The sequence below is a fragment of the Homo sapiens genome, chromosome 14 (assembly GCF_000001405.40).
Source record: "Homo sapiens chromosome 14, GRCh38.p14 Primary Assembly".
NCBI classification, from domain to species: domain Eukaryota; kingdom Metazoa; phylum Chordata; class Mammalia; order Primates; family Hominidae; genus Homo; species Homo sapiens.
Genome location: NC_000014.9, coordinates 106,682,110 through 106,709,375, shown reverse-complemented (window position 1 = coordinate 106,709,375; position 27,266 = coordinate 106,682,110). Strand labels below are relative to the sequence as shown.

The window sequence follows — 27,266 nt, the reverse complement described above, 5'->3', positions numbered from 1 at the left end:
TAATTTGTCTCCTCCTCTCACATTATACTATATTAAGCAAGGAGAAATCAAAACACACCATCCACACTTTGCTTAGAAATCCCCAAAGCTAAATTTTAAGTATCACTTACTAATTCTAATTTTACCCATTGTAACTTAATTAACATGAAATCTATAACAAGGTTACACATACTTTCCCGTTCTAATACCATGTTCGTGACAGAAACAAAGCAGGTGTCTTCTCTGCAATGTGGTCATCTGAGGTCTGAGATGAGGGGTCACACAGGTATTTTATAATATTTAAGGGTTTGGACAACAGTAGTGATAACAATTCTGAACAGCACTGGCTCCTAATTGAAAGGTTATAGGTAAATTTAATGCTGCAATTTTATATTAACACCTTGTCCGAATGAAGCTCAGAGGAAGATGCCACATCCCAGGTCACACAGTGAGGAGGAATGGAGCTGTGCTCTGCTCTCCACACCACCTACAAATCCCAGGCCCCAGCCCAGGTTCCACTGGCGCACGGCACCTAGAGCACAGTTCCCAGGGGATGATCTCAGGGCACCTGCTTCCTCGGGCAGGGCGCTGCCTTCTCTCAGTTGTGCACTTGCTCCTCCTGCAGGTTCTGTAGTGAGCACTTGCATTGCCGTGATTTATACATGTTCTCTCCCCTAATATGGAAAAAATATTTATTAAATTTTCAACTCATTTTCTCTGATGCACACTGCATTAGCAGAAAGGAATAAATCACATTCCTTATCCTCCCATAAAGCCAAAGATTCCCGAAGACAGAGCTGATGTGATGTACTCATAGGTGGATCTCTGCCCCTCAAGGGAGGCCTTGGTCTTCAAGTTTCAGTAATTCTAGGAAGCGAAGGACACCTACATCTCCTGCTCCCTGCTCTGTAGCTCACCTGAGAACAGCTTTCTCATTGGAATGTCTTGTGTTTAAGGAATAAGAGTCCATGTTTCAGGTTCGGGAGCCCAGGTGCACCTACTGGATGCAGCCCAGGATTGGAGACACTTTCCAGAAGACAACATCACCTGAGACATGACCAGTCCCACTGTTTCACTTTCACAATTTCAACTTCCTCAGAAGAAAATTAAAATTGCTGAGACTTGTTCATAAGTGTTGTGCCATGTCCTTACTCTGTTTTCTTGCCTGTTCATTTATGTCATACCAGGTGTCTGTTATATGTAATAAGATCAAAATTCTGCCTCCAGTAACACATCAATGGAGACCTTTGATTGTACTTTTGGTTTATGCACTGACACATAGATTATGATGTTCATCACATTCATTTTTATGTCAAAGGAAATCTGCATAATCTGAATGCCAATACTTTTTGGAATCTGCTAAGTAACTGAAATTGAAAAAAAAATACCCACTCAAGAACCTGGATAGACAGCCATGTCCAGAATGGCAGTTGACACTTGTTTAACTGGAAGAGAATCTACAGAAGCCACAAGTTGTTGAGGGCACTTACATGATAAGCACTATAGTTGTCTTAAAGACAGATGTGGACTCAGTAAATGTGACTGTTCCAGAGGGTCTTATATTTCTATGTTTTATGGACTTTCTCACCAGAAACCTCCAGATTCTAAAAAATACTATCCAAATACGTTTCTTATTTGTCAGATTGGAGAAGATTAATTACTGAAAAATATTACGGGAGACTTTTTCAAAAGCTTCTACATGGAAGGACTTTTCGAGAACCTTGTCCTATGTAAAGGAAGACAAATCTCCCATTCCAGATTTCTCTCCCATTCTTCCATTATTATAGAAATGAGCAAAGTTAGCCAATAGGGGTAAGATGTAAGTAAATAGTCCAGGGACACTGAAACCACAAAAGGGAGTAATGGCCAAAGTAGCTTTTCCCCTGGAGATTCCTGGTCAAAGTCACAGCCCAGAAGAGGAAGCCGATCGCATCTCTAGGTTTCCATTGTCAAAACAGGCAGTGCTTGCCTGCACTGCACAATCCATTCTAACCAGTGTGATAGCTCTGGATTAAAGATGGAAGTGTGGCAATGCACAGACTCTATGTGAGAAGAACACTGGAAAACTAAAGGACAAAGGCAGAGAGTAGGACAAGGACGACAAAGCAATCTGAAGCCTCTGACATCACCATTTTTAAGATCAAGGTCTTGGAAACTCCCTCATTGACCTTTAGATCTCTAGGAGAAAAAAGTCAGATACCTGGGCCTAGTGTCAGTGTAGGAGGAATTTTCTATAGGCTAGGCATTAGGAAGAAGGGAAAATTCTTCCTTATTAGGAAGTTATTGTTATAGTGTTATAGTGTTATTGGAATAGTGGATATGGAGTGGGCTTTCATCTCGATCAATCTGCACCTGCTGGTATTTTCCAATGCTACATTCACCTGCAAGAGCCCAATGAAGAAAGAAGGCACTCCCAAATCTTTTGCAAGTTTTTGTATTCACTGTGGGTCCACTGCTTAAGTGCATCTGGAGCTTCAGAGAAGGGGCTCTGTCCTGTGTCATAGAACCCTTGCTTTGAGTCTCACGGCAGAGTTCAATCTGTTTAGTAAAGTTGATCAATTATTTCAAGAGATGGTGTCACCAGCATATGGTGTCACTGAGGGAGTATTCTACACTAGCACACAGCCATTTCACGCTGGGCTAGAGAAGCTGGGGGGAAATGCTTTGTGAGCCCCAACAGGAACCTCCTTGCAAGGCAAGGGCTGGGCGGGAGGGGGCACTCAGGAGCCACTCAGCACGGGTTCCAGCCCTGCAGCTGGTGCACAGGAGGCTGCTGAGAAGGTTTCCTCTCAGGGGCTGGGTCTTCCTTTGGGAGAAAAAAGCTAAAATTCAATAAGTTGCTGGTGTGCCCTTAAATATTCTATCACATCTGAGCTGCTCCCACAATTCAAGAGAAGGAGAACTATCTTTATAAATATTCTATCACATCTGAGCTGCTCCCACAATTCAAGGCGATGAGAACTGTCTTTATAAATATTCTATCACATCTGAGCTGCTCCCACAATTCAAGGCGATGAGAACTATCTTTTCAAATATTCTATCACATCTGAGCTGCTCCCACAATTCAAGGCGATGAGAACTATCTTTTTAAATATTCTATCACATCTGAGCTGCTCCAACAATTCAAGGTGATGAGAACTATCTTTTCAAATATTCTATCACATCTGAGCTGCTCCCACAGTTCAAGGAATGAGAACTATCTTTTTAAATATTCTATCACATCTGAGCTGCTCCCGCAATTCAAGACAATGAGAACTATCTTTTTAAATATTCTATCACATCTGAGCTGCTCCAACAATTCAAGGCAATGAGAACTATCTTTTTAAATATTCTATCACATCTGAGCTGCTCCCACAATTCAAGGCGATGAGAACTATCTTTTTAAATATTCTATCTCATCTGAGCTGCTCCCACAATTCAAGACAAGGAGAACTATCTTTTTAAATATTCTATCACATCTGAGCTGCTCCCACAATTCAAGACAAGGAGAACTATCTTTTTAAATATTCTATCACATCTGAGCTGTTCCCACAATTCAAGGCGATGAGAACTATCTTTTTAAATATACTATCACATCTGAGCTGCTCCCACAATTCAAGGAATGAGAACTATCTTTTTAAATATTCTATCACATCTGAGCTGCTCCCACAATTCAAGGCAATGATAACTATCTTTTTAAATATTCTATCACATCTGAGCTGCTCCCACAATTCAAGACAAGGAGAACTATCTTTTTAAAGTCGGCTTCTAAGATTATAAATACCTTAATAGTGAGAATATGAAGAATAGGGATGGTCTTACTAATTCAATGCAGAGAGAATTATGGGAGTCACTATATTTCCATGAATAATAATTTCAGATTTCAGGCTGGGGCTGGTGGCTCATGCCTGTAATCCCAGCACTTTGCGAGGCTGAGGTGAGCGGGTCACGAGGTCAGGAGCTGGAGACCATCCTGGCTAACACCATGAAACCCTGTCTCTATTCAAAATACAAAAAATTAGCCAGGTGGGGTGGCATGAACCTGTAGTCCCAGCTACTCGGGAGGCTGAGGCAGGAGATTTAATCCTACAAGACCTACAGCCTCAGACAATGCTGCTGTCAGTGATCGTGGGAAGCAGAGTTTGCAGTGAGCTGAGATTGTGCCACTGCACTCCAGCTTGGGCAACAAAGCGAGATTCCATCTCCAAAAAAAAAATTCAGATTTCAGTGTTAAGTAAAGTTGCCTACATTGTGTGAGTGACAGGGCAGTGGTGGATCCGAGAGTGTGGATCTGAGAGTGAGTCAGAAATCAGCATGTAAAGATGAGGATCTATGCACATGAACTGAAAGTATGTAAACAGTTCATGAAATTCTAATAAATCCAGTAGGAAATAAAACCCAAACTTATCCAAAACACAAATTCCCTTGAAATTATTATGGGAGCATGAGTTCATAAAGAACTCCTAACTCCTGTTTCAACTTCTGAATCCTAGTGTCCATGACATAAGAAAATCATCTCCAATTATGCATCACAGGGCAAATCTGTAAACTAAGAGTTTTTCTGTTGACGATCCTGGGGAATCAGGACACCAGGAAGGTGCTGGAGAAACTGTCTCAGGAGCGCCCCAGGGATCTCAGAGGAACGTGCTGGCCACTCACGTGGGACATCAGCGTCACTTGCTCAGAGTCATCAGTGAGCTGTGCTGGTGTCTGACGGGTCCAGCATAGGGCCAAGGCACCTGCTCTGTGTCATGGACCGAGATGGTCCCCAGAATGATCCAAGTGGTCTCTGTGCTAATCTAATGTAGTTTCACAGTGAGAGGCCGTTCTGAGGGGGCTTCTTCTTCAGTGAAAGGACCTCTGTCCACAAATATTCCTAAATGGACAGGGGCATGCATTTCCTCAAGCAGGATTAGGGCTTGGACCATCAGCATCTCACTCTTGCAAGGCTGATGTGTCATTTGTCTTCCCTTTCTTATCATGGATCAGGCTTTGAGCTATGAAATGCCCTGTCTCATGAATATGTAAATACCTGAGATCCACTGAGGTAAATATGGTCTGTGCCCTGAGAGCTTCACCCAACAATCACATCCCGCCTCTAGAGAATCCCCCGAGAGCATGGCTCCTCACCATGGACAGGACCTAGAGCTAATCTTCCTGGTGGCAGCAGCTACAGGTAAGGTGCTCCCAAGTCCCAGTGATGAGAAGGGGATTGAGTACAGTCAAGGAGGCTTTCATCCACTCCTGTGTCCCACCCTCCAATGGGTGTCTGCTCCCAGGTGCAGCTGGGGCAGTCTGAGGCTGAGGTAAAGAAGCCTGGGGCCTCAGTGAAGGTCTCCTGCAAGGCTTCCGGATACACCTTCACTTGCTGCTCCTTGCACTGGTTGCAACAGGCCCCTGGACAAGGGCTTGAAAGGATGAGATGGATCACACTTTACAATGGTAACACCAACTATGCAAAGAAGTTCCAGGGCAGAGTCACCATTACCAGGGACATGTCCCTGAGGACAGCCTACATAGAGCTGAGCAGCCTGAGATCTGAGGACTCGGCTGTGTATTACTGGGCAAGATACACGGTGCGAGAACCCACATCCTGAGAGAGTCAGGAACCCCAGGGAGGAGGCAGCTGTGCTGGCATGGAGGAGATGACAAAGATTATTAGATTGAAGACTTTCTTAGAAAATAGCATTAAGTCATTTACGAAAAGGAACAATATAAATGTGTATTTGAGAAATTGTAATTATTTGAGAGATTTCTTATGCAACATTTATTCTGTAAGCAAATTCTAGGGATTGGAGAATTAATCAAATTAATAAAGCTGACATAGAAATTCCTCTGAAGGTATCTTTGTAAACATCAATTTCTGAATCAGTGTTGTAAATGTTTTGGAACACAGACACAAGATCACATTTTAACTCTACTTTTGTCTCTATAAAAAATGCCAAAAAGAGTCTCATTTTGACCATGTACCTCTTTGAATTCCCACCATCAATGAATGATTGTTCTTGGGTTTCCACATTATATTACCATTTATCATTATGAGAATTGTGTGTTTTAACCATTATAATAGGTGAGTAATGGTATCTAATTTTTGCTTAAATGCACATGCCCCTAATAAAATTCATATTTAACAATTTTCATATAATTTTTGGTGAGATGCCTCTCCTGATATTTGGTTCATTTTCAATAGCACTGTTTTCTTTTGATTAGTTGTAAGTTTACTTGCATATTGATTATAAAAGTTAATTAACAAATTAAAAGAATTCATTTAACAAATATGTGACTTGGAAGTTGCAGGGGTTTGTCCTGCACACCCTGACACAATGACGAATGAATAAAGTGCACTGACACAAAGATATTCTGCTTTGCCAGCTCGACTGAGCATCTGGGCCACTTAGTCACAGCCACCGCCTCGATCAGTCAGGGAGACTTACATTTATTCAGTAAAGATTAATTGACAAAGGCCGTGAGTAAACACCACTAGAAGGTAATTGACATTGTGGACCTCTTGAGTGGAAAGCAATTAAGCACCCGCGGTAGATCAAAGGTTAGTCTTAGGAACACATGAGTAAACAAGCTAGTTAGATAAGCTCCTCACATTCCTTTGTTTCTACTCTACTTTATGTAACTAAAGGTAAGGGGACTAGGCTGCCTTCAGCCAGATTTATTACCAAAGTTATGCAAACTCACAGGCCTTCCAAGAGGGTTTGTGGCTATTAGAACTAAAATGTTTCCCACCAGCCTGACTGGACCACCACATCTCCCCATTTTTTGTTTTCTACATCAGGTCTTTTGGATTGGAGCGTGCAGATATGCGCAGCAACATGTCTGTCAGGTGTGGCAGTCATTGCTCTTATTCTGGCTTTGCATCCTAGAATTAGCAAATAACATAAAACAATCATGAGTAGAATTAGCAACATTCTTTTCCAGTCAGAGTGACCCCCAGGAGCGGGGTCTAACCAGGAGAGATGATCTCACACACCCTTCCATATGACTGTTTGTTGGGGGTGTAGATCTATTGCGTGAAGAGATTCTAAAATTTTAGTTTGAACTTACTTTACGTCTGCTGTTAAATTGTCATGAAAGGTTCCCCAGAGGTATTGTTTTACCTCATCCTAACTATGTATTGATAGATTCCGTGGTAGAGAAGTGATACAGATATGTTCATGTTCCCAGTCACAGTTTAAATGCTGTCAGAATGCCACTGCATCTTGTCGCTCCCTGACATATTCTAAAGCAGCCTCAAGGGCTAGCAGACGTGTGATAATTTTTTGATCTATACCTTGCTGTAAGAGAAGTTCATTAGACACATTTTTGGCCAGATTATCTAAAAAGGCAGCAGTTTACACTAAGTCAATAATACATGCAACAGCAACACTAGCTGTTGCCAGGATGACTATGGCTGAGACTATAAAGGCCATAAGTGTAACTATGAATCTTTTGTGTCTGACCTGGGACAGGGCACGTTCTAAGGTTGCAAGGGCATAGGAACCTTGCCAATTGCATGCCAGATTGACTGGTAAGAATGCCTCAGATTTTCTCTTTAATACCATGGCGCTAGTAATTTTTAAGTTAGATATACTGTGATTAGTGATACATGAGGCAAACCAAGCCTGTCCCTGCATCCAGGTCACAAACGTGGAGTTTTGAGGTGTAATGGAAATGTTAGTTCCCATAAGGAAATCGTATGGATGGGTAGTGCAAATTAGGCACTGATCAGTGTGATTATGAATAAAGCTTATAGCATAGTTGCAACGGGAAATATGGTATGTCCCATGCCAGGTGTTAAGGGAGGTGCTAAGATGTCCCAGACACCATAAAGTACCTTGGGGCGGCATGGACTTTACTTGGGGCCTTGGATATGCCATCCCCCCTTGGCACAAATTATAGGGGAAAAGACATGGCTATGAAACTGATTGATGCTCTGATGGATGAAGGTATTAGTAAGGCTGCCCTGCAATCAGCCGCTGGGACTCCAGTCTAAGATGTTATAATTACCTAACTGGAGGCTATGGGCTCGTCTCCCATGACAGACCTCCCAGCTAAAGTCGAACCGATTACTGTCCCAGCTTTGTTCCTTAGCACAGGAAGGAATGTTTGGGAAAGAAGCAGCGGCATGGATTGCATTGCTCAGTTTGAGGCTATCTGCAGCTAAGAATGTTAAGGCATTTCCTTTGCTATGATGTAACCATACTTGTTTTTGGGCAGGTACACAGTAAGGGTTAGAGTCTTTATAACTTACACACACTGGGAGGATAATAGTGGATTGACATATAGTGTTATCTGCCACCTTAGTCCATTGTGTGCCATTATTGAGGGACCCCACGTGGGGTAAATCTATCCCTCCTAGCCAAGCAGTCACGTTACTATAGGCTGGGAAGGGAGTGTCTTCCCATTTGGCAGGGTGAAAGAAAGGTGTGTCTAAGATAGAGGCCCAATAGAGTGTAGCAGGTACAGGTTGCAGACAAAGTGAGAGCATAAAAAGGATTAATACCCTACATGAGTTGCAATGTACAACAGAAATCATAGCACCAAACACATTATCTGGAGTAAATGGTGTCTGCATTTGGAGCAGGATTCGTTCAGCCTCCTGAGTTGTCCTTTTCAGTACCCCCCAGGTAATGTCTGGGGATTGTGTTGTTCACAGAAGCTGCATCGTCCGGGGCTGTAGGTCTTGTAGGGTTAACTCCTTCATTTCTGGTACTGGGTTGGGTCCTAGCAATGTCCTGGTATGGTTTGATGCGTCGTGCTGGAACCCAAAGACGACCCGAGGGGGTGTGGATACAAGCGTACCCTCTTCCCCACATTAATAATTCACTTGGACCACACCATTCATTACTGTTTACATCTTTCCATAAAACTGCAGGTTTCATGTATTGGGAAATTTTAGCAAAGTGCTTTTCTACAGCGGATTCAAATTTGTCTTCTAAATTAAAAAAATAAGGTTTGTGCCAAAAGTGTTGCAGGGTCTGTACCCATACTCCCCTGTTTTTGTTTTTTGTGCATATTTTAAGGGTGGAGTTGGCAAGTTCTACTATTGCTTGTCCTTGGGGTTTATATGGGATACCTGAGGAATGTCGGATATTCCACGTGTGACAAAATTGTTGAAATTGTGAGCTGGCCTAACCTGGACAATTATCAGTCTTAATTTTTGCGGGTTGTTCCATAAATGCAAAAGATAAAAGAAGATGTTTAATGACATATCGAGTAAACTCTCCAGGCGGAGTATGTGCACTACTTAAATGAGTGTTGATATCAAAGGATACATGTACCTATCTAAGTTTTCCAAATTCAGGGATGTGTGTAACATCTGTTTGCCACAACAGATTAGGTTCTAGGGTTAATACCTGTTGAAGGAGGAGACGTGCCTGTGAGCTGGCGATCTCAGAGACTGTTTAGCCAGTCTCTGTATAAGTTGAGCTGGCGATCTCAGAGACTGTTTAGCCAGTCTCTATATAAGTTGGAATTGTTTAGATAAGTTTTTCCAATTTTGGTGGAAAAATTGGTGCAATTGGGTGGCTTGGTCAAGCAGCGATATCATAACTTGAAGGTTGGCTTGATTATTGTCATAAGCTAATGGACCAGGCAGTGAGCTGTGGGCTGGAATGTGTGTAATAAAATAGGATGTGTACTTTGATTTAGCAATTGCTGAAATCAGAGAAAAAGAGTCCACAGGGCTGGCTCCAGAGTTGACTTAATTAGGGCTGTAAAAGTTCTCTAGACCCAATATTAAGGACTCAACTTTAGCTTTCTGAGTGCTAGTAAACCCAGATTGAGTGAATGAATTGTGTGGTGTCCACCAGACTGCTGCTTTTCCATATTTACCAGATCTATCAGTAAACAGTGCTAAAGCATTAAATATGGGGGAGTAAACTATTTTTGTAGGTAACACATTAACTAGGCCTTTTGGGAATGATGAAAATGGGTAAATTCTAAGGGCTGTTAGTAGAATATTACCCATAAAATGAATAATCTTGTAGCCAGGAAACTTTTTCCTACTAGGGAGCAAAGCTTGCTTTTAATTGCTCCCTAACTAACTTAGGGGCTTTTTGTAATGTCTCTCCCTTTAGAGGTTACTGTTTTACTTAAACTGGATTTGGAGTCATGTTAGGAATAAGAGAGAGATAACAGTGGCCATTATTAGAAAGAGGTTTCTCAAATTCTTAAATTTTACTTAACTCTTATCATAGAATTATAATCTGGGATGTCGCTTGTATACAAAGAACATAACAAATTTTGCTTTGGGCCGCCTGCGGAGCCAGAGAGCGGAGCAGGTGGGTCCCAGGGCGGCTGCGGCTTTGTGCTTGCTTAGAAGCCACTTTTCGCCACCGCGTTTCCTCTGTGCCAGCTCCCTCCCCACACTGCTCAGCAGCTGCTGCCGGCAGAGGGGAGCTTCCTGCACTTGCTCCTGCCCCTAATGCCTTTTCTTAACCCTTCGTGTACCTGATTGCCTTGCTGATCTTGCATTACTGGGCAGTCTAAGAGCTCCCCTTTTAATGCTGCTTGTCGAAGACAGGGACATATAGCTGTAGTGTATTTCCTCTATTTTTTCTATCTATTGAAAGAGGGGGCTCAGGCAAAACCTCCGTTTCCTCTTTGTTATTTTGGGAAGAGCAGGTGGTAAGGCAAGTGACGTTTCTTCCTCCTTCCCCTTTTTGGGTTCTTCTTTGTATAATGGGACTAAAGCCATCCCTACTAAAGCCCATAGTGTTAAAGATGATGCTGGGACCCGTTGCGCTTGTGTGTAATGCTGTTCAAGATTTCTCCCTACTTGTTCCCAGAGCTTTACTTCTAGCTTTCCTTCTTCTGGGACCACAGATTATGTGAGACAACAGTTTTCATTAGGTGCCTTAATTGAGCCTGCGAAACTGATGCTCCCCTAGCCTTAAGCAACTGTTACAATACTTTCATATGCTGTTTGTGTTGAGCTGATAACTGCTGTCCCATGATGAAATCTCAGCCTGAACAATCTCCCCTGAACTTGGAGATCCCAAGTGGGCACCAATGACTTACTGTTTTACTGACTTGACCACGCAGTCTTCCTCAACCTTCGTTTTCATGGGGTCTGTCACGCTCCCTTTGCAGCGATCCTCACATGGGGCACCGGCTGTGGGGGTCTGTCCTGCAGGTCCTGACACAACAACGGGTGAATAAAGTACACTGACACACAGATATTCTGCTTTGCCAGCTTGACTGACCATCCAGGTAGATCAAAGGTGAGTCTTAGGACCACATGAGTGAACAAGCTAGTTAGATAAACTCCCCACATTCTTTTGTTTCTACTCAAATTTACTAAACTAAAGGTAAGGGGACTAGGCTGCCTTCAGCCAGATTTATTACTGAAGTTATGCAATCTCTCAAGCCTTCCACGAGGACTTGTGGCTATTATAACTAAAATTTTTCCCACGAGCCTGACTGAACCCCACAGGAAGTATTTTCTCCAAGTCTGTGGTTGCCTTTTACTCCCTTATCAGTAGGTATCGCAGAAAAATGTGTGTGTTTGTGTGTGTGTGTGTTTGTACAAATTTAGATTGAAAACATATATAATTTTATTCATTCATAGATCATGCCTTTGGCATTATATCTGAAGTTTCATTATAAAATAAACTAATAGTCATTATTTTTTCCATATCTCTAATCTCAGGCCACAATCAACTCATGAGTGTTTAAACTTCACCTGCTTGATTGGAGGACCATCAATCTAATGTATTTGGAATACTTCTGTAAGGAGATGTGTTCTTCTTCCTATTATTTTTTAATTAATCATCTATTAATATCAGTATTGGTTGATGGATGTCCATTTTATACTTTGAAAAAGATCCATGCTACATCATTCATTTAATTGTTCAAAGCACCACAGCTTTATTAGGTGCTGGGAGCTCATTTTGTTTGAATCCTGCATCCTTACAGCACACCTCATATTTTTGTTTTTGAACACTTGCGTATTTCCTGGTATTACCATAAATTCTAAGCTTGTTTTCTTTATTACCTTTTTTTACATAGAATCAACCACTTTTATAAAGATTGCATGTTTCTGATGTTAAAGAATAGTATTAAAATAAAACATTGTGATACTGGCTCTGTGTGTTGTTAATGTGGTATGAGTACTTCTAGAACCTCTCAAACAATGGTCCCAGTAAACGTGCATGTTTATGTGAACCCAAGTTTATGGACTCATTGAAACTATTTATGTATCTAATCTTCTGTAACCATATCACATTAAAAATGAGAACACACTGGTCTCTCCACCCAACTATGTTAGCACATGAACCTTTCTAGTCTTCTTTCTTTGCGTTTCCATAACCACCCACTGCAAAGTGAGAAACCCCATTCCACCATATGTAATTTTATTACTTAGCTGCACAGTTTCAGGACACATGCATAGCAGTATCAAAAGTGTAAAGCTGTGCCCTTGATGGAACCATGTTTATCTACTAGAATAGAGTGCTTATGTGCAGATTTTTTACACATTAAACTTATAGAATTTCTTCGTTTTCTGAGTTGCTTAGGTCAGCAACTTCATTTTCCACATTCTTCAATGAAGTCATTTCAATTACATTGTATAATTTCATTTATTTGAAATTCCATAAATGCTTAGACTATAGTCAAGTAAACAGACAGAGGATGTTCCAGGAATTTAGAGAGTGGGTATAAAATAAGCAAAAAAAAAAATGTGGTGTTTAGGAAAAATAAAACTATTTTTAGTGATATGCAATGGTTGAGATATGATATAACTAATTTGTCTAAGCTAATAATTTTGTGATAGAAAATATAAACTTAAACATATTCAATTAAAAAAATTCAGCAGTTCATTAACCCCAGGATTAAATGCAGACTGTATAAAATTATCCAATAACTTATTTGGTGAGAGTGGGGATGTTATGAGATACATGCAACAAAGAATGAAGTAATTTTCCCCATTTGCATATACAATGTTTCCATTCACTGAAGACCTTTTATTTTAAAAAAATCAATTTTCTACCTTACCCTTGTTTTTAATTCCCGACAAGCAAATAACCCAAAGGATTCTTTTCTTTCATTGGTTGAGAAAGATTTTCCCCTAACTTCAGCTTAGTTCAGGCATACGCTGACCTGAATGGGCATTTACCCTCAGATGGGTACACACCTGTCAATATGTGGACTCTTCTGTCAGACAGACACAGCTTCACTCATGTGGATTCTTCCCTCAAACACAAATGTCCCCACATGGACTATTTCCTCAGACTACCACATATGTCCTTACATTTACACTTTCCTCAGAAAACAGACATTTCCTCATGTGGACTCTTGTCTCAGATAAGCAAACATGTCTCAGTGTGAATGAAGTCTTCACTCAGATAAGTACACATATTTCAACACTGACTGTTTCCTGACACAAGCACATATGTCCAATGTTAAACTGTCTTGCGACAAAATGATCTCAAGATAATGATAATTATAAACTCCAACCCTGAAAATCTGTAGATCTGCATTTTGTCTATTGTAACATAACTTCATCTCATTGTCAGAAACAGTCGTTTGCAGCTATAAATGCACTGATTACAGTCAGATTTCCATTTTCTCTGGAAATGTATTTCTTATGTTCTTACTGGACTAATTTGTTGATAATGTTTGCTCACATGAAGATACCTGAACAGTGTCCACATTAGAGAATAAAAAAGAGCAATGGGCAGATTAACCCTGTGCATCCAGACGCAGGAACCATTTGACTCTGCCTTCCCTGAAATGGAGACACAGAGGATGGATGAGCAACGCTGAGTGGTGCACCTACGACCACAAAGAGAAAGACCTGGAAATATGTCCCATCCCCTCCTCATGAAAGGCAGCTCATCCCCTGTTCCTTCAGGCCCTGGTGAGGAGCCACCCCATATCTGTGTCTTTCTTCAGTGTTCACACTATGGAGTCTGCACTGATCTGGGTTTCCCTTCTCATCACCCTCCATATTAGTGTCCCTTGTAAATCAGGTCCAGCTGTGGCTGCTCATAGGGTTGTTCTCAGTCTATTTCCTCTGTGTTCATAGAAGTCCTGTATGAAGTTCAGTGGTGGAGTCAGAGGGGTAAACGTAGTACAGCCCAGTGGTTCACTGAGACTTTCTTGCAAAGCGTCTGGATTCACCTTTTCTGGCAACAGCCTGAGGTTGGTCCAGCAGGCTTCACAACAGGGATTGTGGTGGCTGGCAACAGTGAGTCAACAAGTGGGAGTGCTCAGGTTTACTCTTCATGAGTACAAATAAATTAACTGGTCCAGCGACACCCTTTCACGTGCACTCTACCTTACAATGACTAACCTGAAAGCCAAGGACAAGGTTGTGTAATACTGTGAGCTTCACAGGAGAGAGATTATCTGCACAAGCCCAGACACAAAAATCTGCAGGGAGACAGGAGGGAACTGCATGGTAGATGCTGCTCAGAAGCACCAGGGGGCACTCAACACAAGGGGGCGCTCAGGACACCAGGCGGCACTCAGGATACAGCTGGGGGCGCTCAGGACACCAGGGGGCCACTCAGGATACAGCGGGGGGTGCTCGGATCCACCAGGGGGCTCTTAGGGCACCAGGGGGCATTCAGGACCACTAGGGAGCCCTCAGGGCCACCAGGAGGACCTCAGGACACGTCAGCGTGCTGGAGCCACCGGGGGGGGGGGGGGGGGGGGGCGCTGAGGAAACCAAGAGACGCTCTGAACCGCGAGGGGAAGGAAGCTCAGGACCACGAGGGGACGCTCAGGACACCAGGGGGCGCTCAGAACACCAGTGGGCACTCAGAACAGGAAGAATCTCTTAGAAAGCAGCTCCACATCAGGATCCTGGGAGGCTGTGGAGAAATGGGAACACTCATAAACTGTTGAGCATTTAAATTAGTACAACCACTATAGAGAACAGCTTAGAGTTTCCTCAAAACCTGACGATAGAGTTATCATATAATCTGGCAATCCTGCTGCTGGTATATACCCCTAAAAAGGAAATGTTTTTGCACTACCATGTCTGTAATAGCACTGTTAAAGCACTGTTCACAACAGTCAAAATTTGAAAGCAACCTATGTGCCGATTAACACATGAATGGATAAATAAAATATGGTACATATAGGATATGGGTTAATATCATGCCATAAAAAAATGAGATTTTGTCATTTGCAGCAACATGGATGAAACTGGAGTTCACTATATTAATTGAAATGAGCCCAGAACAGAAAGACAAAATTCACATGTTCCCATTTATTTGTGAAAGCTAAAAATTAAGACAATTGAACTCGTGGAGATAGAGAGGGAAAAGATGGTCACCAGAAGCTGGGAAGGTCTATGGTAGATGGGGATTATTGGGGATGGTCAATGGGTAGAAAAAGTGATTAGAAATAATAAATAACACATAATATTTTATAACACAACAGAATAAATATAGTCCTCAATAACTTAATTATAGATTTTAAAATAAAAGTTTATGAATGGAATGTTGGTAACTCTATTAATGCTTGAGAGGATGTATAAAATATTCTTCATGATGTGATTATTATGCAGTTCATGCTGATTCAGAGTCCTGTACCCCATAAATATATACGTGTACTATTTACCCACAAAGATTCAAAATTAAAGTGTTTATGTGTCTAATATTCTGTAACTATATTACATTAAACCTAAGAACACACTGGCTTTTACACACTACTGTCATCCACATAGACATTCATAGCCTTCTTTCTCTGCTTGTCCATAATCCCACACTCCAAAATGAGAAAACCTCTCCTAAGATATGACATTAATTTACTTAGTGCACAATTTCAAAATACACAAATCGTCTTTAGGATTGTTAAACTGACCCTTGTTGAAAATATGTTTATCAACTAGAATACAGTGCTTATGTGGAGCTTATTTATGTTTTACAATCGCAACATCAAATTCTTTCCAAGTCTCTTGTGTCCAATATTTATGCCCCACCTTCTTCAGTGTAATTAGTTCAAACCTTCTGATTGTTGTTAGATATTTTTATACAGCTGTCTTTTTTTGTGTTTCATGACCTGCTAAATACTTTCGAAGTTGTATGCATTTAGGTTAACACTTTGTCTCAAAAAATATGAGTTTTCAGAAATTCTTTATGCCATGTGTCCATCATTGAATATCATAAAAATAGTTTCATTGGCCGGGCGTGTTGGCTCACGCCTGTAATCCCAGCACTTTGGGAGGCCGAGGTGGGCGGATCACGAGGTCAGGAGATCGAGACCATCCTGGCTAACACAATGAAACCCCATCTCTACTAAAAATACAAAAATTAGCCGGGAGTGGTGGTGGGCACCTGTAGTCCCAACTACTCGGGAGGCTGAGGCAGGAGAATGGCGCGAACCCGGGAGGCAGAGCTTGCTATGAGCAGAGATCGCGCCACTGCACTCCAGCCTGGGTGACAGAGCAAGACTCCCTCTCAAAAAAAAAAAATAGTTTCATTGGGATTAAAAAGTGTGTGTTTCACCTAATCCACACACCTTCTCCCCACCTTCCTGGGAAACCTCAAATGTTTACTGGATCTATATTTTTATCTTTGGCAAAACAGCCTGGCTGTTCTCTTAGCCTCTTTTGCAAAGCATCAAGATTCACCTTCACTGACTACAGCATAAATTGAGCCCAGATGGCTGGGGGACAGAGGCTGGAGTGGGTGGTAACAGTGATTGATTCAAGTGGAAGTTCTCAGTGATATTCTGCATCAGCATAATGAAGATTCACAATTCCCAGGGACACCAATTACCAGCACAGTCTCCCTTAAAATAATCTACTTGGAAGCTGAGGGGGCTCTCACAGGGGTAGGCAGTGTATTACTGTGAGAGACACAGCGAGGGACATTTCTGTGAGTCCAGACAGAAACCTCCCTGCAGGGAGACAAGAGAGGACTTTGTGATAAATGGTGCTTAGGACACCAGGGGGCACTCAGGACAGCAGAGGGTGCTCAGCAGAGCAGGGTGCGCTCAGGACATGGTGTGTGTTGTAGGGGGCATTGCTCAGGATCACCAGGGGGCTCTCAGAACCACCAAGGGTCACTCAGGAAACCAGGGGGCGCTCTGGACACCAGGGGGAGCTCAGAACCACCAGGTGGTACTCAGGACACCAGGGGGCGCTCATGACCAGCAGGGCATGCTTGGGACTCTATGAGGCATGCAGGAGAAGCAGGCCGTGCTCAGGGCAACAGGGGGCTCACAGAACCACCTGGGGGTGCTCAGAACCACTAGGGGTCACTCAGGACAGCAGCAGGCATTCGGGACACCATGGGGCCCTCAGGACCTGCAGGGGGCGCTCAGAACACCAGGGGAAGGTCAGAAAGACCTGGGGGCACTTGGAACCACCAGGGGGCACTCAGGACAGCAGGGGGCGCTCAGGACCACTAGGGGGCGCTCAGGACCAGCAGGGGGTGCTCAGGACACCATGGGGCATGCAGGAGCAGCAGGCTGTTCTCAGGGTAACAGGGGGCTCTCAGAACAACCTGGGGGTGCTCAGAACCACCAGGGGGCACCCAGGACATCATGCGGCCCTCAGAACCTGCAGGGGGCGCTCAGGACACCAGGGGAAGCTCAGAATGACCTGGGGGCACTCAGAACCACCAGGTGGCACTCAGGACAGCAGGGGGCGCTCAGTACCACGGGGTGCACTCAGGACAGCAGGGGGCGCTCAAGACACAGTGGGATGCTCAGGACCAGCAAGAGGCACTCAGGACCACCAGGGGGCACTCGGGGGAGCAGGAGGCACTCAGGACACCAGAAGAGGATCAGAACCACTCGGGGGCACTCAGAACCACCAGGGGGCGCTCAGGACACTGGGGGCATTCAGAACCACCAGCAGGTTCTCAGGACACCCAGGGACACTCAGGACAGCAGGGGCGCTCAGGACACCAGGGAGGGTGCTCAGGACACCAGGGGGCTCTCAGAAACACCTGGGGGTGACCAGGACTAGCAGGGGCATGCAGGACACCAGGGAAGGGGCTCAGGACACCAGGGGGTGCTCAGGACAGCAGGGGGCACAGAATCACGAGGGTGCATTCCAGACCACCAAGAAATACTCAGGACCAGGGGTAACAGAAACACCTAAAGACACACAAGACCACCAGGAGGCACTCACGACTGCTCAGAGTGCTGAGGACACCAGAGCTTCAGGACGAACAGGGGGTGCTCAGGCCACCATGGGGGGCTCAGGAACCACCAGGGTATCACTCAGACAACAGGGTTCTCTTAGGAGGCAGCTCCACATCAGGTGCCTGGGGAGGGTCAGATTTGCTTTTAGACCTTGCTGATCCCTGATCTGGTCAAGCGAAAACCTTCCCAGGATCTCTCACCATTTCTTCCTTGTAACCCATGGTTTCTTTCACGTACAAATCATTAACTTAGAACAGGAATTCAATTCAACTTTTAACCCTCCATATTTTTAGAATAACACTAGCAGTAATTGAATGTTTTGATAATAAGAAATTGCGTATGCCTAATTCAAGCTCTGGTTCCATGCATGGGTTTTTGTTTTCTTTGCTGTGTCAGTCACACTATAGTCAATGCTTTTCTACCAATAACTCAGCATAGGCATAGTGTTAAGTTTCTTTTTCTTTCATCTGCCTTTTGTGGAGATGAAACACCACTTTCAGGGCTCAGTTCCCCCACCTTGGTTGGGTTCTGGTGTTCTGCTCCTCACACTATTTCTCCACCTTCCCTTCTTCTGTCCAAGCCTTTTGTCTTCCTCAGTCTCCTAGCAAGGAAGCAACAAGTCCCTTTATTTTGCCTCTTCCATGTCTGGTGAATCTGTTCACTTCTCTTCATGATCATTGAAGTCAACCAAGTTTAGGAGGATAACAGTTCTCCTTAGAATATGCTCATCTACCTGCAGACTCTCTGCCTTCCTCACCCCTTTCTAGGGTCCTGCAGACGTCACCTCCACCACATCCACTCCTTTACCTAAGTACCACAGAATAGTCTCTGCAGCTCCTGCTGCTCTCTGTGTGCTCAGCACTAAGGCTCACTAGTGCTTTGATGATGAAGTTCAAATCCCTAATGTGTTAGCAATTCTCAGACAACCCTGCCATTGTGAGTGAATTTTGGGGATCCTGGGCTGTTTTCAGTTCCATATTACTGGATGTTCTCTAGCATCCAGGAGTACTGGCAAATTAACATCTAGAATTTGTATTGCAAATTTATACAAAATCAATTGTAGAAAAAAATCCTAATTTCTAAATAAGAACATTTATCCTGACTTTTATAAAAATACAATGTGAATTTAACCAATAATATAATACAATTTTAAAAGTGATGTTTATCTTATATGTTATTAAGTTTATTAATAATTGGCTGGTATTTTAAAAGTATACTGATAGCAAAACTGACAAATAAACCAACACAGATTCTATACATAAATACCATTGTCCATTTAATTAATGTGTTTGGCCAGAATGGCATTTACATTCAGTTCTACCGAGGCATGTCTTTAAATGTATTTGTTTATTGGCATTAGGATAGAGAAACACTCACACAGAAAAGCATTATTTGGGACTACTACATTATACTATAAAAGAGAGTAAATTCAATTCAATTAAATAAATAAAATAAATTGAATAAATTCATGTTTTGGTTTGGTATTTGGATAGGTGTTCATTTTTCTATTTTCACATGTATATTTCAGTACTGGGCATATGTGTGTATGTGTATGCATGATTATGAACTTCTAAAATACATTACTCCCCTATATAGTTATATAAATTGAAGTTTTGCATGTTAAGAGACAGTAGAAACCACAAAAGGGGAAAAGTTATAGAAAGCATTTGGAATACCTAGGGCCTACAGAGGAGTCATATTAAAATGAAAAATAATAGCTGAATATTTTGGAAATGACACATGCAGTAAGAAATGTCTATATGAAATTAACAGGATATTGGCACAAAATTTAGAAAAAAATAACATGATTATGCCCACTATTGGTCTATGATATGCCTATAATAATAACACATTTTATTTATCATAGAAAATAAAATAATTATACAAATAGCACTCTCATTGCTTGATTTTAGTATTAGGTACTTCACTTGTTTTTTGATAGAAATGAACATTTATCATTTTTTGATGATAATTTCTATATTATCTTCTAAAATTAATGTCCATAATTATGATTGACATGTTATAATTTCCAGAAACCTATTTTATCAATTGTGACTTGTATTTTTATGATAGTATTTTTACATTCATATACATTTGATTCAGAATAATTGTAGATTAACAAAATAATCATAAAGTTAATACAGTGTGTTCCCATCTCTAAGTATCTCCTAAGATGAACATCCTCCACAATCATAAAACATGGTGTTAACACATTTACGTTGATAACTTTAAATATATTCAATACCAGGCCTTATTTGAGATTTACCATTTTTCCAATAATTTCTTTTGTAAACCAAAAATAAAATTCTAAGCTTCCTCATCCAACTAAATGAACTCAACTATCAGCCAAAGATATTTTAAAGTAAACTTTAAAACTTGTTCCAGCAATAATGGGAAAATGAGAGGTCAGATATGCCTCATTATGTCCTCCTGTCTTTGGAATTAAGGCACCTGTGGCCAGCATTAACACTAAAACAAAGACCCTTAGACTGACAAAACTATATTTTTTCTATAAACACTCTTCATAGTGAAAAGATACCAAATTACAATATGATTCTAGTATAGCATCACATGACAAACAGCAACGCCTAAAAATCTATTCTCTATGAAGTCTGCTACCTGGAGGTTTCATCTACATAATAACAATTATGAGCTCCACAATCTCGTATCTTAATCCAGATACTCATTTGTAATGAGTGTGTAACATTTCAACCAATTGCCAATCAGAAAATGTTTGAATTCACGTATGTCCTGGAAGCACTTGAGTAAGCTTATTCTGCCTTTCTGGACTGTGTAAATGGTATAGCTCACATGTGTTGATTCATATCTGTCTATACCTTCTGTACCACTAAAATGTATAAAATCAAGCTGTAACCAAACCATTTTGGATACGTGTACTCAGGAACTCCTGGAGTTGTGTCATGGGCCTTGGCCACTCATATATATCTCAGAATAAACTGTCTTAAATAATTCACGGTTTGTCTCTTTTAGTGGATACTGTCTTTTTCTTTTTTCTTTCTTTTTTTTTTTTTGTTTTTTGAGACAGGATCTCTCCTTGCTGTTGTTTTTGTATATTTGTTTGTTCCCAGATTCCAACAAGGTCATCACTTTGAATTGAGTTGTCATGTTCCTTTATTCTCTTCTGGCAAATCACAGTTTGTGTTTCTGAAGTTTTCTAGTTTAATATTTTATAGATAAAAATTTATCAAGTAGATTGATAGTCCTATTTAGGACACTTATATCTTTACTTATTTGAACACTGCTTGTCAATCACAATGAGTGTTGATTTCTCCGTCTTCTATACATGTTATTATATTTTCTGTTCCAAATCCATTCATTAAGTATTTTTAAATGTATTTTGGAAAGTTGATCCTATTACTTTATGTAATATTTCTCTTGAGTCCCAAAGGTCTTCTTTTTATGATTATTTTGTCTTAAATTAACATAGCTATTTAAGTTTTCTTTTGGTTTATATTTTCATGATATATATTTTTCCATCTTTATTTTTTCTATTTCTGAATATGTAAAGAAATTTTCTTGGAGATAAATAATAGTTGGGTGTTTTTTTTTAGTCAACTATGAAGAATTATTTTTTAATGATGTTACTCTTTTGTCCAATTATTCTTGTTTTAATTTGTATTTTTACAATAAAGTTTATTGTTTCTATTAACTTATTATTTAATCATTCTGTGACTAACATTTTATGGGTTACCATAAGGATAACAATAAAAAGTTTCTATAATTGAATTCTAATTCAAAAATTTAATTCCCATTCATATATACTACAGAGATATTATAACTCTATATATCTAATTCCTCTTTCCTATCCCATGTTTTTTATTTTCTGTTTGTATCTATACATGCTATAAAATGTAATATTGGCATTTTTATAATTGCTTTCCACACTTACATAATGAACAAAATACAAATGCAAAAACTGTATTTCAACCTCATTTTTCCATTGTTGACCATCTTCTTTGTGCATATTTTCAGGTGTTGGATCTATGTCACATGGCTATTCATCTAGAGACTCTGCTAAAATGTCTACGGAAAGATTCATGTGCTGGAAATAGGTTTTCTCAGGTTTTATTGGTCCGACAGAATATTTATTTGTCTTTGATTTATTGTCTCCAGAGACAATGTCAAGAATATGCTATATCTGCAAATGGGCGATCTGTAAACCAAGAACACATCAGTATATCACTGTGCAAGAGGAGCACATGAGGGAAAGCCAGTGTGTGCCCAGACATAAACCTCCAGGGACACATGGGCGAATTAGCTGCAGGGGGAGCTTGGGACCCACTGATGAGAGTCGACCCCAGAGGGAGGTGCACAGAAAGGTTAAGAACTGCTTTCCTGCCAGTATATTTTTAAAAAAACAAAACTTCCATCTGACAGTTTCTCCAGAGAACTTCCCTAATTTTAGCATTCTGTGCCTACCAATGCCATCACTAAATAGGTTTTTAAAAAATATTGTAATATGAGGACATATTCTCATATGGACAAAACGCAAATTGACATTTACAGAAATGAAAAGTCCTCAACCGTGGTCGCTAGAATTGGAGACCTGTAGCAGCTCAGTGGGACCTGTTGAGTCTTCTCCAATCACACTCAGAACAGAGACCTTAGTGCATCTCCCTGACTAGAATACCCTTTAGGTATCGAGATAACAGCCTAAAGATGGTAAATCATGAGAGTCTCAGATGTCCAGATGACAGACATGGGTCTATGGGAATAGTACTGTAACTGACAGTAACTAATTTTCCATACCGCCAGATGTCCTATTCAGGAGCAGCTACAGCAGTCATGCCTAGGTGTGAAGATCACACACTGACCTCACCCATGCTGTCTCTGGCCACTTCATCACAACCAATGCTTAATATTGGACGTGGATCTGCCAGTCCCCGGGGAATGGGTTGAATGGATAAAATGCATGGCTAGTGCTGCTGGAAACCCATTCCTACTGTGGCAAATGGCAGCATCTCTTTTAAAAGGCTAAATAATATTCTATTCTGTATACATACCACATTGCCATTATCCTTTTTGTTTGTTTGTTTGTTTGTTTGTTTGAGATGGAGATTCACTCACTCTGTCACCCAGGCTGGAGTGCAGTGGCGTGATTTCAGGTCACTGTAATCCCTGCCTTCTGGGCTCAAACAATTCTCCTGCTTCAGCCTCCGGAGTATCTGGGATTACAGGCATGCACCACCACTCCCGGTTAATTTTTGTATTTTTTGTAGAGATGGTGTTTCAACATGTTTGTCAGGCTGGTCTCAAACTGTGACCTCAAAAAATCAACCCACCTCAGTCTTTGAAAGTGCTCAGATTGCAGGCGTGAGCCATAGCATCCAGCCACTTTTCTGCATTTTTTTTTCATTGACACTTAGATTATTTCAATATCTTGGCTCTTGTGAATAGCGCTGCAGTAAACATAGGAGTGCAGATATCTCCACAAGGTGGTGATTTTTTCTATCTTGGGTATATTCCCAGAAGGGAGGTTGCTGGTCATACAGTAGTTCTAGTTCTAATTGATTTAAGATCATCTTACTGCTTTCCATAGTGGTGGAGATTCAGATTAGTGTAGCTATTATGAAAAACAGTTTCAATGTTGGGGAGTGACTGAAAAACAAATAATGCTTGATTATGGTTCTCCATGAGAGTCTCTAATAAACCTAATGGAAGTTCAGAAAGTTTCCTCACCTTGTTAAGAAAACATTTGTTTTGCTCATAATTCTCTTTCAGCCCAGAGTTGGCAGTATGTAGAATGGAGGCTGTTGGCTCGTTTAAGGATTCTGAAGCAAAGAACAGTAATGAGAGATGACAATAGAGAAAAAGAGAGAGAAGGAGATGCTGAATCATCATGGACTCATTCCACCTGCAAGCCTTTCACTGTAAAGCTCTATTGCTAAGGATCCTGAGGATTCTATACTCCCATGAATGCATAATCAGGATCCCTCAATTCAAATTTTATTGGCAGAGACACACTGGGACCCCTCTAGGATATGTGCCCTACATTACTGGCTCAACATGCCGCACTGAGAATCCTGCATTAACTGGCTTTATTTGTAGTGGTGAGTAAAGTTCACAGTTTTCAGTCATCCATGAAGGGGAGATTTTTTTTTTGGTTCATATAATTTTTGCAGAAATTCAGGTATTAGTGAAAACCAATAAGATTGAGGATTTCTGGATATTTTAGCAACACTAGGGATGATGGCCATTTTGTAGAAAAATTTACATTTTTCAAACTGACCTACATGTTAGGCTGACATAAAAAAATCCAACTACACAGCAATATTATGGCAACACTTCAATACACTTGGTGGTGAAATACCTCAGAAATGAAATGTTACACAGATTAATTGAGTTAATGAAACTGTTCTGAACTATGATAAACATTTGTTTGCACCCAGATTTGCTTGAATTCAATTTGATTATTATATTCAGCTGCTGCCCTAACTTATTTGAATGAGTAAGTTACTATTTAAATGACCCTGTCTGTTTGATTTGTTATATATACATCTGAATTAAAGAACTTAAAGGACAGGTTTGTGCTATTATTAGAAAGAGATATTCTGGGGGGCCCTTGTTTGCTCCAGGAACCTCCACATTTTTAACTTAGAATTAATATAAATTCCTTGTGAATTGGGTCAGTCTTCAAGAGACCTAATCTCTAAAACATATACCCAGAACCTTCTCCAGACAGACCATCCAGAGGAAGAATCTTTCCAGTAATTTATCTCCATGGTGGAAGGTCCTTCATTGTCATGCAGAACCCTCTGCCCAGGCTTCCTTTATTATGCAAATAATTAATATTAGCCAGTAGGGTAAGATTAAACAAAAATAGACCGGAGATGCTGCAGACAGGGAAGGAAGTAATAGACCAAAATCAGCTTTATTAATGGAGACTGCTTTTAAAGGTCACAGCCAAGAAATGGAAGAGGATAAAATCAATGAGATGAAATTGTAAGAAACTTTGTCCAGTTCAATCAAGCCATCAGCAACCAGATAGCTTCAGTGGACATTATGTGTATTACAACATGGCTAAAGATTCTAGATTACACAAGGATTTTCTCTATAGTTTGCATATTGACAAAGTGGAAGATGGCATGGGAGATCTGGTGGCAAACACTTAAGGTGCAATAATAGCTATTTTTCCTATATCATGACAATACATGGCATGCCTCTATATTCATTTCATTCCAAAGAAGTCCTTCAGAAGGTCAAGTAAATGGAGAATCTTACATGCATGGCCCAATGCAGTCTCCAAGAAGTGATTTTGAATGTACAGCTACACCAGTTACTGCAATGCTGTGTCTGACCTTCCCAGCATCTAAGATATTCATGAGTATCAAGGGGGAGATGGGTCTAGGTGAAAGAAAAGGAAGTAGTCATTCTTGAGAAGAATGGTATGGCCAAGATAAGCCTGAACTCTCTATCTTCTTCCATTTGCTGCAGCTTCTTATTGCCCGATTGAGGTCACTCGCCCATGGTGGTAATGACATCAGCAATGCAGTACATTCTCTGGTGGCTTTGTATCTGGTTTATAATGTGGGAGATGTTTCCTCAAGAGTGGTGACGCCAGTATGGCTTCTGCTCTCTGGTGGTGATGGCATCTGCATTAGCCTAGGGGTTTGGAGAAAGAGAGTTATTCAGACCATGGGGAAGAATCTGACACTGTCACACCGCCTGGTGCCTTCAGTACTGGACTGGCTCCTGCCCTCATTGGTGATTGCATCAAATATTGGCCTCCTCATCAGTACAACACATTGTAACAGTCTTCTTTGTACCTGGCTTTAATCCAAGAAAGTTGTTGACTTATGGCTCTTTCATTATATTGTATGGCCTGGTTTGTCACAATCTTTATTTCTGGAATTATCAGTGCTGCCATCTTGGCTGACTTCAAGTATGTCATCCTCACAGTTTGAAGCTGCTTGACATTAACATTTTTGTCAATGTTTGGGACTACCTTACATATTCCGGCTCTCTGAAAGAATGATTAGCGTTAGGGAAGGCTGACACTAAATTTGGGAGCCAGAGAAGGAAAGTGTTACTGTGCTACAGTTGTTTTGTGATAAATATGGTTAGGTTAAAAATGAGCTATGTAATGTAGCCAGGTTTCCACTGAGTTCCACTTTGCTTCTTGGCTGTCTATTCCTGTGCAAGTTTCTATATATTTTGTATCAGGCTTCAATTCCATTATGTTTTAAATGTTGTCTCTAAAGATAAACAAAGATTTTTTAAAACTACCAAACATGCAGCCATTTGACAGAGTGTGCGCTGCATTTTTAGTCTCACCATCTTCTGCCCTAACAAGCACCGAATCTAACAACACAAATATCATGGAAGCTTTCCTTGGAGTAGCTCCTGTAATTAGAATCATTGGTATTCTGCCCTCCTGTCAGTGGTGGAACGTTCTATTGGCACATGTGGAAACCTCTTAGAGGGATGAGTTTCTTTGAACACAATAAAATTTTAAGTTAGGAATAACTTATTTGAAAGCAATTCATTGAAGGTTATTGCTAAGAAGAAGTTAGAAGCAGTCTTTTGGCAGTCATTTCTTCAAGATGTATGGCAGCGTAGGATGGATATATGAAGTGGAATAGGAACTTGGGCTAGTTAAATGGAATAGCCTCCAATGTTAATCTGTTTACCTTTTAACTGAATGAAAAAGCCTATAGTTGTAAGAAAAGAAAAAACAATACAGTGCTCCCCTGTCCCACACATTACCTTCTCATCAGTATAATTAATCTACATTGAAGATGAGTGTGGTAATGCAGAGACTCTATTTAGGGAGGAGAACATAGGGAAATGCAAAGACAATGGGAGAAAAAAGTCAAGGACAGTAGAGCAATTCGAAGCCTCTGATACCAATAGCTTGAGGACCAAGGTCATGACTCAACTTTTGGTGGACACAGAGTCACTTCTCTTAGGGAAACTGCAGTATTCTAAGGTGACAATATGCAAACATGATGAATGTACACTTGCTACATCTCCAATTGTGTACTGTTTTCCTTACTTCTGTTTGAAGAAGGGAGTCGTATACTCAGGTCTAGTATCAGTGTAGGGGGTGCTCCCTATTTGCAAGATACTAGAAAAAAATGGTAAGTTAGAGGCCCATTGTTATAAAAATCTACTAGCTCCGTGTCAGTGTGTGTGTGTGTGTCTGTGTGAATGTGTGTGTTATTGAAACAGAAGACATGGAGTGGGCA

At 41.0% G+C, this 27,266-nt stretch overlaps 6 pseudogenes and 1 further gene; all 7 read left to right on the top strand.

The window, feature by feature from the left end:
* Positions 1 to 27,266, top strand: part of IGH (immunoglobulin heavy locus) — a 1,293,408-nt gene that overhangs the window by 170,469 nt on the left and 1,095,673 nt on the right.
* IGHV1-68 (immunoglobulin heavy variable 1-68 (pseudogene)) lies at positions 5,090 to 5,569 on the top strand (annotated as a pseudogene). The gene is given in 2 exon segments: positions 5,090 to 5,134; positions 5,224 to 5,569. Coding segments are annotated over 2 exon segments (391 nt in total).
* Positions 13,979 to 14,284, top strand: IGHVIII-67-4 (immunoglobulin heavy variable (III)-67-4 (pseudogene); annotated as a pseudogene). Its single transcript is given in 1 exon segment — positions 13,979 to 14,284. A coding segment is annotated over 1 exon segment (306 nt).
* On the top strand, positions 16,488 to 16,762 carry IGHVIII-67-3 (immunoglobulin heavy variable (III)-67-3 (pseudogene); annotated as a pseudogene). The gene is given in 1 exon segment: positions 16,488 to 16,762. A coding segment is annotated over 1 exon segment (275 nt).
* IGHVIII-67-2 (immunoglobulin heavy variable (III)-67-2 (pseudogene)) lies at positions 22,176 to 22,274 on the top strand (annotated as a pseudogene). The gene is given in 1 exon segment: positions 22,176 to 22,274. A coding segment is annotated over 1 exon segment (99 nt).
* On the top strand, positions 22,834 to 22,983 carry IGHVII-67-1 (immunoglobulin heavy variable (II)-67-1 (pseudogene); annotated as a pseudogene). Its single transcript is given in 1 exon segment — positions 22,834 to 22,983. A coding segment is annotated over 1 exon segment (150 nt).
* SLC20A1P1 (solute carrier family 20 member 1 pseudogene 1) lies at positions 25,027 to 26,746 on the top strand (annotated as a pseudogene).